This window comes from Homo sapiens, chromosome 5 (assembly GCF_000001405.40).
Source record: "Homo sapiens chromosome 5, GRCh38.p14 Primary Assembly".
Taxonomy (NCBI): Eukaryota; Metazoa; Chordata; class Mammalia; order Primates; family Hominidae; genus Homo; species Homo sapiens.
This window is the reverse complement of record NC_000005.10, coordinates 128,918,331-128,933,240: the sequence shown is the minus strand read 5'-3', so window position 1 is coordinate 128,933,240 and position 14,910 is coordinate 128,918,331. Positions and strand designations below refer to the sequence as shown.

Here is a 14,910-nt window from a genome sequence, read left to right as displayed (position 1 = left end):
TTGAGACATGTATTACATTATTTCTTAATTTTCAAGGAAAAACATGTTTTACGACTTGAGTTTATCTGCCTAGTGACCTTGCAGCTGCACAGCTAGAGAAACGGGGTCTTCACAATGCCTGGGAAAGGGAGAGATAAGGCTCACTAGCCACACACGGAAAAACAGGCAGTTAATTTTTAAAGGACTCCATTTCTTTTTCTTTCTCAGGGGGAATTGGGTTTTTTTTTACATATAACTGAGTTTTTGCTTACATATTCTTAAATTTCTTTTAATTCCTGTTTCATTCTAGGAGCATTAGTAAGAGAAATTTGATATTGGTAGACCATTTTGCTAAGCAAGTGAAGATATTTCCAAATAAGTCTTTTTTTCTTTTTTCTTTTATTATTTTTTCAAGACAGGGTCTCACTATGTTGCCAAAGCTGGTCAAACTTCTAAGCTCAAGTGATCCTCCCACCTTGGCCTCCCAAAGTGTTGGGATTATAGGCATGAGCCACCATGCCCAGCTCCAGTCCTTATCCTCTATGAGGAAGAAGTCCACATCTATCAGGATGTGTGTTGGGAACAGGCCCCCAAATCTGGCCATAAACCGGCCCCAAAACTGGCCATAAACAAAATCTCTGCAGCACTGTGACATGCTCGTGATGACCTTGATGCCCACGCTGGAAAGTTGTCAGTTTACCGGAATGAGGGCAAGGAACACCTGGCCCACCCAGGGCAGAAAACCACTTAAGCCATTCTTAAAACACAAACAATAGCATCAGTGATCTGTGCCTTAAGGACACATTCATGCTGCAGATAACTAGTCAGAGCCCATCCCTTTATTTCAGCCCATCTCTTTATTTCCCATAAGGAATACTTTTAGTAAATGTTATGACTGGCTTGCTGTCAACAAATATGTGGGTAAATCTCTGTTCGAGGCTCTCAGCTCTGAAGGCTGTGAGACCCCTGATTTCCCACTCCATGCTCTATATTTCTGTGTGTGTGTCTTTAATTCCTCTAGCACCACTGGGATAGGGTCTCCATGACCGAGCTGGTCTTGGCAGATGTGGACACAGGCACAATCAGGTTGGCCATGTCTTGCTGTATTAGGCAACTCTTAAGGAGAGGGACACAACTTCTCTGCCACTGAGCAATATATCAAATTTCATACATGTATGGTTTGGACTGGCCAAGTTCAACCATGTTAGACTCCTCATACCAAAGCTCAATCCAATTTCTGCTTACAATGTCCTCACAAAAGCAGTGCCAACATGTTGGTATTGGATGATTGGTAAGTCTTATTTAATATATACTGATGGTATGCTTACTGGCTTTTATTTCTGTAGAAATGTGTTAAATATTTCATTCATTTATTTAACGAATATATTCAGTACCTATTGTATACCAGATACTAATGGATTCTAGGGATACAGCGTGAAATATCACAGTCCCCTCTTTCAGAAAGGGAGGTGGACATGGCGCTATCCGTATGATAGTTTATATAATGAAGGAATGAACAAAGTGTATTGAGCAGCTAAAGAAAAGAATTCTTGAGTTTCTTGGAAAAGTCAGATAAATTTTTCTAAAGGAAGTGACATTTGAAATGAACTTTTTAAATCAAAGAGTAAAGGTGAGCCAGGCTTAGGAGTTTCATGTGGGTTTCACCTGGGCTTGGTGTGGTACAGCAATGTAACTTGGTCTATTTGCATTTTATTTTAACCATCTACCACCAAAGATTATGGTGGAAATTAAATGAAATGATAAAGAACACTGCATGCACATCATAAGCTTCTAGTAAATATGATATATTCTTGCTTTCTGTGCTGTTTTAATACAAGATATTTACTCATTCTAGGCATTAGGGTGACATAATCTAGCTCAGGACTCACAGATGAAGAAAAGCAGAGCCAGTAAGGCTGGTCAGCCACAGCCACCCAGGTAATTAATCACCTGAAATCATTCCCAAGGTTAACTTCTGACTCTTCCAAAAATTAATTCACTTCACTTTTCATTTTTTTTTTACTCTAAACATGTGAATATTTCAAGGTTACCATGCCTAAATAAGGTAGCACTTAGAAATTTATAAAAAAATGAGTAACATATTAAAAATCTTCACATTGTTTTGACTATGATAACCCTTCAAATTATTATTATTATTAGAGATAGGGTGTCTCTGTTACCTAGGCTGGAGTGCAGTGGTGTGATCACAGCTTACTGTAATGTTGAACTCCTGGGCTCAAGCGATCCTCCCACTTTAGCCTCCCAAGTAGCTAGGACTATGGCTGTGTGCCACCATGCCCAGCTAATTCAATAATTTTTAAATCAATTAGATAAAAGATTAAAACTGTCTCTTCTTATTTTAAAAATTATAAGTATTTTCCCCTTTCTTCTTGATAATGTAAATATTTGTGAGAATAAGTTTATCTGTCCCTTCTGGAAGCTAACTTTAGTAGCCATATTCTTAGGATGTTCACACAGGGATGAAATCACCCAACAACCCATTTCTCAGAATGACCCCCCATTGCTAAGTGACACATGACTCTGTTTGGCCCATGAACAAGAAATATTTTTTTCCAACACATTAATACTTCATTGGATAAACTAGATGATGCCCCAAAGATCCTGTCCCTTCATATCTCAGAATTCAGCAGATGTAGGCAGCCCAGCCTTAATCATGTTCAAATCCGAAATCACAGGCAATACCTGTTAATCATGTACTCATATTGTTTAAAATCTCTACTGCTTAAGAATTTATATGAATAACATCTGGGCCTTACATCTATTTCTCAATATCACACTGCAAGCAAAGAGAAGAAAAATTTCTAAAATTGTATTTTTAAATGAAAATTCATGAGCTTAATGCTGGCAAATATCACGTTTTCAAATTTTTCTAAGCATCAAAACTGCTATTTATATTCATATTCTATTTTTACTAATTGTATCTACATGCTCACTGGGTAAGGTAAATTAATCAGTCTAAATGAAATTATTTAGACTGATTTTTACTAGTCAGTAGTAAAAACATTTTTTTTTGCATTTTTGTTAACTGACTAGTATTTCATGCTTGTTTCATTCGATATTTCACAAGTGCTTATTTGCTACAAGAACACAGTTGTGCTCACTTAACTTCGAAGCAGTTATAAGGAATCATCACATTTACATGTGGGTGTTAATCCAGTACAGATTTGGGAAACTGGTGGCATTTTAAGTATGAGTTAAAGTTTTCAACATATCCTTATTGGATTTATATACCAAACATTTAGTCTGAAAACTCTTGTGCAATGAGGACAGTTGAAATGTCAAAACATAATATCCTAAAGAGGAAAACAATGGAATTTAATGGGCACTTTCCCCAACAAACCTACTTCTTTGCATTTGAGGACCCCTTGCTATGGCCTATTGATGAGAAGTTGTGCAGAAATTAAGGCACCAACTGGATGAATCAACTACGAAAATTTACACTGGCCATCTAGCTTGTTACTGGAAAGAATTAAACTAGATCTCACAGTCTATTAACAAATACTAAATAATCTTGATAATAATAATGATACTTATGCAGAAAAATACATGCTTCTTTACACTGGTCTTTAGATGACTGCAGATGGCATTAGACACATTTTTGCTTCATACACATTTCTTTTCTTGTACATACCCAGGACGGGCCCCCAGCATGTGAAACGGAGTGGCCATAATGAATTAGTTTTATTCCCCAATGATACAACTAGGGCTCCCTTCTCTTTCATTGCTTATGACTGCCTTCCCTTTTCTCCCTCACTGAATATTGGTCTTTTGTTGCCCGACCCTGACCCCAACCAGGATTTTTGACAGTAGAAGGGATATAATGAGGATCCTGTTGAAGAAAGGAAGGTGAAAAAATCCCAAGATAGATTCTTTCTCTACTTACTCTCTCACCAGCAAGCTGAATTATCAATTCTCCTATCAAACTTTCACCTCTCAATGTTCCCATCCTTTCCTTCACAGGCCTCTAATGAATATTTTTGCAAAGAATCTCTGAGATAGTGTTCTTTTGCATAAAGCAGAGGAAAAATCCCTAATGTTGAGTTAAACCTCAGGGAAATAGATTGCAAGTCATTGCAAACCAGAGAAACCAACTTACACAGTGGCAGATTTAAAAAGAAAGGGAACTACTAGAAAGGCTGGAGAATCAGACATGGGCAAGGTAAGGATAAAAGGAGGCTGGACACAATGATTACAGCTAAAACCACACCACCAAACACCATGTGGATGCAGATACTGTTATCCTTCTTGCTGGCTACGGGGTGCAACATGTGGCACCCAGGCCCATTCCACAATGAACAGTGTACTCTGTTGTACCACTACCCATGCAGCCAATGTTAATTTATGCTGCCAGAATGAATTCTTGCTCCAAACCAAGAAACTGAAAGGGTCACATGCTCATCCCTTATTTCTAGGGGCCAGAGAAATAGTGTGTCTGGACAGTGGCAATTTTGCAGTAGGAAACATACCCTTATCTCTCCAGTTTTCATGAGGTAGAGAAGTTTCCATAGTGAGGAGTTTCAAAGCCCTAAACGTCAAAATAAACTAAATGTCCAGTATAGTGTGACATTTTCGAGATGATTTGAAATTGTTTATGTTAGTTTTTAGACTTTTTTTTAAAGTTTTTTTTAATGTTTAAAGCACAGTTCTTCAAACTGTGAGGTATAATCTATAAAACAGTCATAAAATTGACTTAGTAAGCCATGATAACAAACATTTTTTAATAGAATGGAATAGAGTGTGCATATCACATAGTAGGATGAGTTTTGCCCTGTAAAACTTTTCTTTCACTTATGTCTATGTAGAGGTACATATTTATTTAATTATGGTGTCAAATGCTTTTATTGCTGCAGATCATGTAAAAAAAAATAGTTGAAAACCACTGCTCCAAAGGACTGTATACTTGATTCAGGAACTGGAGACTAGAGAAGAACTGTAGTTTCACAGGGCAGTGGCCTGGGAGAGGAGACAACCCATAGCCAGAAGAACAGGCCAGGATAGTAGAACTAGAAATATGTGGACCAATCTCCTGGCCCTGTAAGAAATGCAATTAGAAGCTGATGCAGAACCAAGAGCCCCTGGGGACTCCTTTTTTCTCTTCCTATTGTCCTTTACCCAAACCCCAGATGGATGGAACTCTTTGTCCATATCCCAGTAATTATTCCCAGTGACTGAAGAGAGTGTGTTGGAAGAGATTACAGCCGTGAGACGTAATTTGTCATCTCAAGTAAGAATCTGCTATGAATTTTCCTCTGAGAGAGCTTAGAGTACAATGTTGGAGTCAGTGTTATTATTGCCATATTTAGGCACACTGTGAGTTAGGTAGGCTACCTGTATAATAATGTTCAATTTCTAAACAACTGACTCATAATAATTTGGCAACTTCCTCTAATAGTTCTAAGTGGAAGTGGGGGTTGGTAAAAGCCATGTGGACAATAGAGGAAGTATCTTTTAGTATAAACATATGAACAGGCAGTAGAAGCCATGTGGAAATTGCTTTGTCATCTTTCTCATAGCGCAAAAATTCTTTTCAGATAGCTTATAACATTTAATTTGGCATTTGCACAAATTATAGTAATATAAGATATTTTTGATGTTGCCGTACTTTGTCATTACTCATTTTCAGGTCTCCCTAAACTGAGTTATAATTAATTTGAAGTTTTTGAAAGGAAGTCTCTCAAATATTTTTTGTGGGGGTAGATCTCATGATATTATCATTTTGATCTTCCTGTGTACCATGCCAGGGCATTTCTTCTTGCCAGGGGAGAATGCATTGAATTGTATAATTTATCCAATGATTAAACATTGTTGGCTGGGTGTGGTGGCTCACACCTGTAATCTCAGCACTTTGAGAGGCCAGGGCGGGTGGATTGCTTGACCTCAGGAGTTTGAGACCAGTCTGGGCAACATGGTAAAACCCTGTCTCTTCTAAAAATACAAAAATTAGCCGGGTGTGGTGGCGGGTGCCTATAATCCCAGCTTCTTGGGAGGCTGAGGCATGAGAATTGCTTGAACCCAGGAGGTTGAGACTGCAGTGAGCCAAGATTGCACCACTGCACTTCAGCCTAGGTGACAGAGCAAAACTCTGTCTCAAAAACAAAACAAAACAAAACAAAAACACTGTTTTATAATTCAGACTGGCTTGGTGTGGTTAACAGGACATGGAGCTAGAAGAAAATCATCCCCCAAAATATAGATATATATTTTTCTCACAGAGAACTATACTGTGAACTGCTAAGGAATGTGATTTATTTACTCCCTTGTACCCAAGCTGAATATAAAGCTTAACACATAACTGACATTCAACAAGCCATTCTTGAATTGATAGTCACATTTCTCTCTAACATTTACTGAGCACTTACTGTGAGCCTGTTACTGTTCTATGGTCTTACTGTACATCCTTTACTAATTTAATCTTCACAAAAACCCTGTGAGCTGGATCTTACTGCTGTATAAATTTTGCAGTTGAGGAAATGAGAAAGGTTAAATCATTGCTCAAAGTACACAGCTCATGAGAGGCCAAGCTGGGATCTTAACCTATAGAGTCTTGACTCGAGAGTCCACATCTTTGATTACTGAGTAAGACTGCCTGTTGTGACGGTTAAGTGTTAGTGGAAGGAAAGAGGACCACAAGGAATATTGCCAGAGGTTTTATAGGAATGACCAAAATGAGAATAAAGGTAAAATTATAAAATTTCCTAACAGTGTGCCATTTACTTTGCTCCGCCTGCCTTTAGTGAAAGCCTCCAGGGCTGTAGATTAGAATCTGTTTTAGTGGGATGGACCAGAATATCTCTGAATAATAGGGGCTTACATAAGTTAGAAGTTTATTTCATTATTGTGTAAAATAAGTCTGGAGGTAGAAAGTTCATTCCATGTTTTCATAAGAACACAATTTCTGTCTTTCTGCTCTATCAGACTAGGGCAAGTTTTCCGTCTTCGAGTCACCTCATGACCCAGGATAGTCTGTGAAACTCCAGCCATTATATCTGAGGGTGTGGGCCAAAAGACAGACAAAAGGCAGAATAGTGATGAAAAAAAAAAAAAAAAGATTTATCTCCTTTCTCTCTGCAAGTCAGCTACTTCTAAGTGACATTGACAGAAATCACACATAACACTTCCGTTGACATTTCTTTGGCCAGTGCTTAGTCACATGATTGCACTCAGCTTTAAGGGAGCCTGTGAAATGCAGTCTTTCTATTCACGCATCAATGAGCTCAGCTAAAAATCAGAATTCTGTTCCTAAAAAGGAAAGGGTAAATGGATATTCAGGTGGGCAACTAGAAGTTTCTGCCACACTGCCTGAATGATATGTCAACTATTCCATGAAATCTTTCTTTTAACTTCTAATGTGATATGATCTCTCCTTTCTTTGAATTCTACAGAATATTTTGTGTGCTTCTAATTGCAGTTTTTATTACCTACAATTACCTGTAAATACTCTTGCCTTATCCTTACAGTTGATGCTAAGATCTATGAAGCCAGTTACTATCACAGTTCTTGCATTCCATGCATTAAAAAGAATAGTCTTACACTGAGTAGATGCTCAATAAAAGTGAAATGGAATCTTTTTTTAGGTACCATTTAGGGAAAGAAAGGAATGATCATAAATGAAGTTCCTATGAAGACATAACATGTAGATTATTTCCAACATATCAGTTAGACTGTAGAGTTTTCAGCAAATTAGAATTATTTGAGCTCCTACTTTGTCATAAGTACAGTACTAAGTAATAGAGATAATTTTAGTACATCATACAGGCATGTTTGAATAACATAGAAAATGGGAATGATTAGCTATAATAATTATCATTATTATTTCCTTCAGAAAGTTTCTATGCAGAGTTTAACAAGTATATAGATACAGATGAACTACATGAGCAAATCCCCAGTATTATCTGAAATAGAAAAACCAAAATGTAAACAAGAGAGCATACCACAAGAATAATGGAGAAGCTTTTCTCAGAAACTGATTTTAAAAAAACCTAGAAATATTGGATTCCTTGATAATTATGAAGAAGACACCATATCTTATTTAGTAGCACATCTGATTATTGGGAGATGCATTCAGAAAGATCTTTAACCAATGGTGTTTCAAAGGAGCCAGGAAAGACAGAATGTTGATAGAAGGCAATATGGCTGAAGCTAGGAGCTCCAGGCAAAAGTGGTATTAAGAGACCTGGCACAGAAACAGAAAAGTATGGGCATGGTTGGTGAATATCAGGGCTTTTGCTGTAATCTAGAAGGGATCTAAAGTGGACATGTGGTGGGAGAGATGAAACCGAGATAAAGGATGTGTCCCCAAATTCCTAGGTTGAAGCTTAGTCTCCAGTGTGATGATATTTGGAGGTGAGGTCTTTGGCAAATAATTAAGTAATTGGGGTGGAGCCCTCACAAATGGGACTAGTGCCTTTATAAGAAGAAACATCAACATTGGTCCAGTCATTTCTGCAAAATGGAGCAAATTAATCATAATATTCACCTCATTCTCAAAACCTCTTCTCAAATGTAGCTCATCTTAGACTCCTGCCAAATTGAACCACTCATTGCTTTCTATAAGCTCTGTGCTATCCTCCTCCCACACTTTGGATGGTATGCCATCCCACCACCTGAACAAAAGTCTCCCTCTTATTCAAAACCTAGTTAAAAATATCCCTCTGTCTCGAAGCATCCCCTGACACTCCTAAATCCCAATAGTACTTGCTTCAGCACTGGCTATAGTACAGTGTAATCATTAAAGCATGGCATCTAACTGGAATCTTGCCCTGGTACAGACTGTGTGATCTGAAGTGAACTATTAATTTCTCTAAAAATGGAAAGAATACTACTGACCTCCCAGGGCTGAGCTAAGGATTACACAAGATAGGGCACTCAAAGTACCAGTACCTATAATACAATACGATGACTACAGTTAATACAATGTATTGTATATTTGAAAATCACTAAGAGAAGAGATTTTATGTGTTCTCATCACAAAGAAATAAGTATGTGTGGTAACGCATATGTTTGCTTGACTTAGTCATTCCACAATGTATACATATTTCAAAACATCATCTTATATGCCATAAATAAGTTCAATTTTTACTTATCAATTTTAATAAATACATTAATAAAAAGTACCAGTACCAAGAAATGGTCACTGTGTTAAATATTTATATCTTTGAATCTCCCATAGTTTTATGATAAATGTCTTATTAGTGACGAATACCTATTAGGTGGCCAACTCTGCCTGGCACCACTGTTGGTCCTAAAGATACAGCTGTGAATAACAAGGGCAATTCTTTGCTTGTATACATTACTTTTCAGTGTTAAGACAATAAAGTACATAAATACTTTTTAAAAAAATAAAATTTGGATTGGTTTTATGTAGAATATTAAAATTAAGTCATGTTAAAGAGGGATTGGGTAGCTACTTTCTATGGGTGGTTATGGAAGTTTCTCCTAAGATGGGACATTCTAGCTCTGACCACAATCTTTTCACCACTACCCAACAAAACAGGACATAATAGTATAACTTTTCTTACAAAAGAAATTATTATAATATATGGTTCTTTATGTCTGTTTTCTCTCACTAAGCATGTTTTCAAGGTTCATAATGTTGCAACATGTAGAAGTATTTCATTTCTTTTTATTGTGGAGTAATATGCCATTATATCGATATTACCACATTTTATTAGTTGATGGACATTTAAGTTGTTTCCACTTTTGGGTTATTATAGATGCTGCTGCTATGAACAATCACTTAGAAATGTTTGTGTGGACATGTTTTTATTTTTCTTGGGTATATACCTAGGAGTAGAATTGCTAGATCATGTGGTAACTCTATGTTTAACGTTTTGAAGAAGCTCTAGGCTTTTCCTAACTGTTTTTCAAATTTTATATTCCCACCATCAGTGTATGAGGGCTCCACTTTCTCCAAATCCTCCCTAAAAATTTTTATTTTTGGTTTCTTTGACTATAGTCATTCTAGGAGGTGTGAAGTGGTATCTCATGGATTTCAATTTGCATTTCCCTGATAAATACCAGCATTAAACAAAAGGATGTTTGTATATATTCTTTGAAGAAATGTCTATTTGGAACATTTGCCCTTGTTTAAACTGGATTATTTGTCTTCTTAATTATGGAGTTGTAATTGTTCTTTATATAGTCTAGATACAAATCCCTTTTCAGATACATGCTTTGAACATTTTTTCTGTCATTCTATGGGTGTTCTTTCCACTTTCCTGATGGTGTAATTTGAGTATGAAATAGTTTGATTTTGATGATACCTATTTTTTCTTCATTTCTTGTATCTTTGGTGTCATCTCTAAGAAACCATTCCCACATCCATAGGTATAACAAAGATTTATACCTAAGTTTTTAAGAGTTTGATATACATGTTTTCTAAGAGTTTTATAGTTTAAGCTCTTATATTTAGGTCTCTGATCAATTTTGTGTTAATTTGTGTGTGTGTGTTGTAAGCTAAGTATCCAACTCAATTTTTTAATGTGAATATCCAGTTGACCTAGCACCATTTGTTGAAAACACTATTCTCTACCCATTGGATGGTCATGACACCCTTTTAAAAATTAATTTATTGTAAATGTGAGGGTTTATTTCTGGACTATTTCATTGATCTATATGTCTATTTTTAGACTAATACCATACTGTTTTGATTACTATAGATTTGAAGTAAATTTTAAAATCAGGAAGTGTGAGTCTTTCAGCTCCATTCTCTTTCAAGGTTGTTTGGGCCATTCTAGATCATCTGCATTTCCAAATTAAATTTAGGATCACATTGTCAATTTTGGCAAAGAAGTCATCCAGGACATTGGTAGGAACTGAATTAAATCTGTATCTCAATTTGGAGAATACTGTCATCTTAACAATGTTATCTTCCAATCCATTAACATAAAAAGTCTTATCATTTATTTAGGTATATTGTAATTTCTTTCCACAATATTCTGTAGTTTTTAGAGTATAAACTATATATTGCTTTTAAAAATTTATTTGTAAGAATTTTGTTCTTTTTGGTGCTATTATAAATGGAATTGTTTTCCTAATTTTATTTTTGTTCTGCTCATTTCTTGCAAAATATCTTATCCAGCTGTAGAAAACAAATAACATTTTATGAATGCATTTTTAACTAGGCTTTTACTGACTTAATTTTATGTTTCTGGGGTTGTATTTTTTCTTTCTACTTTTTCTATGAACATTTGAATAATCTTACTATATTTTATATAGACTTATTTAAATTATTTGGAGTCAAAGCTCAGTATAAATAATAAAATAATTAATCCAGGTACTGTATTGAACTGGTTTACAAATATACATAGAACTGAGAATATTTTGACCTTCTTCATGATCACATCACAAATTTTCCTCCACCTCCCACTTTTAAGTCATTTTTCCATTTTTATAAAGACAAAATAATTATAAATATAATCTGCTCCAGTATATATATCTGACACTAAATTACTAAGTAGCACATTTAAAAGCTTGTTTTCATTTTATAATTTACAGAAACAGGCTTGATAGTGTTTATTCCTTAAAACTGTTAATAGTTTGTTTATAGTAATTTTTAAGGTTTTTCCTCAAAAACAAACATAGTAAAATGAAAATAATCATTTGTAAGTAAAAGCGAGTATATTAACAATTTTTTCAATCATTCCAAACAATGTGTATTAGGATCACTTAAGAAATGGATTATTAATGTACACGGAAGAGTTTTGCTACCCTGAAATACACATTTGACTTTTTTTGCTTTTCCTTGAATTTTAAAAATTGAATGTCTTGAGGCATTCTGAATTAAACAAGAGTAATTGCTATGTACGAATTATTTGCCTAAAATGGTTACTTACTTCTTTGCAAATTCACATGGAATTTACTGAGCACAAATTAATTAAGTAATACATCTCATTTCATGTCTCGTGTTCCTGATATTTTATTCCCATTTAGAAAGAACTTAGGTGATAAAGAAATTTTCCTCTGGTAAAATCTAGAATGAGTACCCAAAATACACAATGACCATATCCCTATACATTGGGGGAGTTCTGCCATTAACTGTGTAACTAGCCAAAGGTGAAATTGAAGGACAGAGACACAAGGCTGGGCCTGAGCTACTGGACAATGGACCTCACTCTTCAGGCAGACCAGTGGTTCTCAATTAGGGAGATTTTGCCCTGACGCATATTTGGCAATCCCTGCACACATTCTTGATTGTCACAATTAAGGTGCCAAGTGGTAGAGTGGCAGGGCTTGGGAAGAGTAATTGAGAGGGAGGTACACTACTAGCATCTAGTGGGTAGAGACCAGGCATGTTGCTAAGCATGCTACAATACACAGGACAGTGCCCCACAACAAAGAATTATTCTGCCCCAAATATCAATAGTGCCCAAGTTGAGATTCTGATGCAGACAGAAAATAAACTGCTCTATCCAAATTCTCTGTTTTCTGCTTCTAATGAAAATCATTATCTATTGAATTCCAGGCAGCATGCCAGGGCTTTGACACTGAGTCATTTTCTCTTTTAACTTTATTTACATAATATCAGCTCACCTTTATGTTATTTATTCTAGTTAGGTGTTTTTCAGAATAATTACAATAATTTGCCCAAGTTTACACAACTAGAAAGTTACCAAGCCTGGATATGGACCCATATCCAGACTGACTCCTAAGTCTGTGCTTGTTTCATTGTATTCCACTGTCTCTTTCCTGGTTTATGACCACATTGTATGACTAATGGATTCACATGTTTGTGGATAGCACAGCTAAGAACATTGGAAATAAACATGGATTTAATGGTAATCGAATTAGTCATGGGAAATGGCTGTTACTCTCAAACAATTGCCCTTGAAAGTTTGTCATTTTAAGTTAGAAATCTAAGAGAATACATAAAAATATGAAGAATTAATACTTATTTCTTCAATTTTCTCTGCTAAATGGATTTGAATGACTCATGAATTTGTTTCTAAGAGTCATAAAACTGTGCTAAATTGACATATGCTTTTAGAACTTTTAGACATTTAAATAAAACATTTGTAAGACAGTTGACACTTGAACAACATGGGTTTGAACTGTGCTGGTCCACTTTATACCTGGATTTTTTTCAACCATGCGCTCAGATGAAAATGCATTCTTTGCAGGATGCAAAACCTGCCTTATATAGAGGGTGTGATTTTTTTCCATAGATGGATTTCACGGGGCTGGCTGCAGGACTTGAGTATGTGTGAATTTTGGTATGTGTGGGGGTCCTAGAACCAATCCCCTGCTTATACTGAGAGACAGCTCTATATGATGATTCCATACCTAGGATATCTTTATTTCATCTCTGACTACCAAATTATAGATTTAGGCAAGATGATGCTCTACACAGATTGGACAGAATGATGCTCTACACAGAACTGATCTCAAAAAAAATTTTTTTTCCCATAAGTCTGACTATTCCTACATATCCAAAGTAATTTCTAAATTATACATGATAGCACATACACAAAAATTATTTAATTTGGTGTCATCTATTGCGTCATCTGCCACAATACTTCTTGTATATGAAAATATAAAAGCTGACATTTTTGTTCAGAAAAACTCACTTTTATTTATACCATGAACCCAAATCTGACTAGTTATAGGAAAATAAATACGCCTCACAAGCAGGGAAAAAGGTAAAAGCAGAAGGATGAGCCAGATATGAGAATATTTCTAGTTGTTTGTTAAAAGGGAGCTCAAATTAGAAAAACCAACCTTGAGAAGGAAATACAAGTGAAGTGGAAGTGGAAAGAGAAAAGCTCTTTCCAGCTGATGCTAAGCATATTTGAAACTGGGGGATACTACAGTTCCATTGCTATGCAACTGGCATTTTGTTAAAATAGAGGGCCATAAAAATAGAATTATGCTGTATTTCCATTTTGGCCAGTCAAATAGATGTTTGAACAATTGTTCTAAGCAAAGGCTTTTTACAACACACATGCAATATCTAATTCTATTATAATAGCTGCAAACATGCCTCCTTGCTAATTGTGAAAGAGTAGATTTTGGTCAGTTTTCCTGCATTGGCTACAGAGATAGTGTTGAAGAATGACACATCCTGTCTTAAGGCCATTTGACCTCATCTCTAAGATCCTCATTTCAAAGTTTAAGAGCAACTTTGAAACATACAAAAATTATGATATTCTGAGACAATCCTTAAATTGTCCTCCATTATCACCAAGGGACAGAATTCTCCACAGGAAAGTAAGTACAAGAAACAAAGTATTACGTTTACCATAGCCGGCTACACACGGGCTAAGTAAAAATTTATCCTGAGAAAGATTCATATTTTTTGTTCAATAGAATCATTGTAAATCTAATTTTAAGACCCCAAAAACATGTTTAAAAAGGCAGTACAATATTTGAGGCTCTATTTTATAAACAACCTAATGAAGTATATTTTAAATATAAGTTGAATATACTTAAAATAGAAGTATATCTTACTGTTTTTATCAAGCCCTCAACACAAACTGAGCTTCTAGTATTTTGGACTCACTAGTGTCATGTCATATGTAACATTTTCAGAAGGAAAGAGTGATCACCAAGTCAGCCTAGCACTGGAAAAGCTTAAGACTTGGAAGAAATGTCTCAACTAGTTTGGTTAAATTAAATTATTTGAGGTTAGTAGATCCACAGAGGAAAATATATTTGTCTTTATCTACACAAATGCCACTGGAGCTGGGAGACATCACTGTGTCCTCTGAGGTCAATGCTAATGTGCTTTCATGTAGACAGGCGGCCGGAGCCCTACCTGAGAAGATCCGTAAGCTTAATTCAGACTTCCTTCAGTGTTTTCCAAATAATCATAATTTTACCAAATCATATTTATGTCTTCAATTAGTTGGGTAGTCCATTCAACTTCTTGATATTCAATGTCAAGAAGAATGTACCATTTCTAGATGATTATGA

The 14,910-nt window shown here is 35.6% G+C and overlaps 1 long non-coding RNA gene across 1 annotated transcript in view, besides 1 other annotated feature; it reads right to left on the bottom strand.

The window, feature by feature from the left end:
* The window catches only part of LOC105379168 (uncharacterized), a 273,909-nt gene that overhangs the window by 2,525 nt on the left and 256,474 nt on the right, over positions 1–14,910 (bottom strand). The window lies entirely within an intron of this gene.
* Positions 7,028–7,228: a silencer, noted in NCBI's record as "peak5459 fragment used in MPRA reporter construct". NCBI's record gives its function as "represses an SCP1 promoter by STARR-seq MPRAs in K562 erythroleukemia cells {active_cell/tissue: K562}" and the evidence as "EXISTENCE:reporter gene assay evidence [ECO:0000049][PMID:32103011]".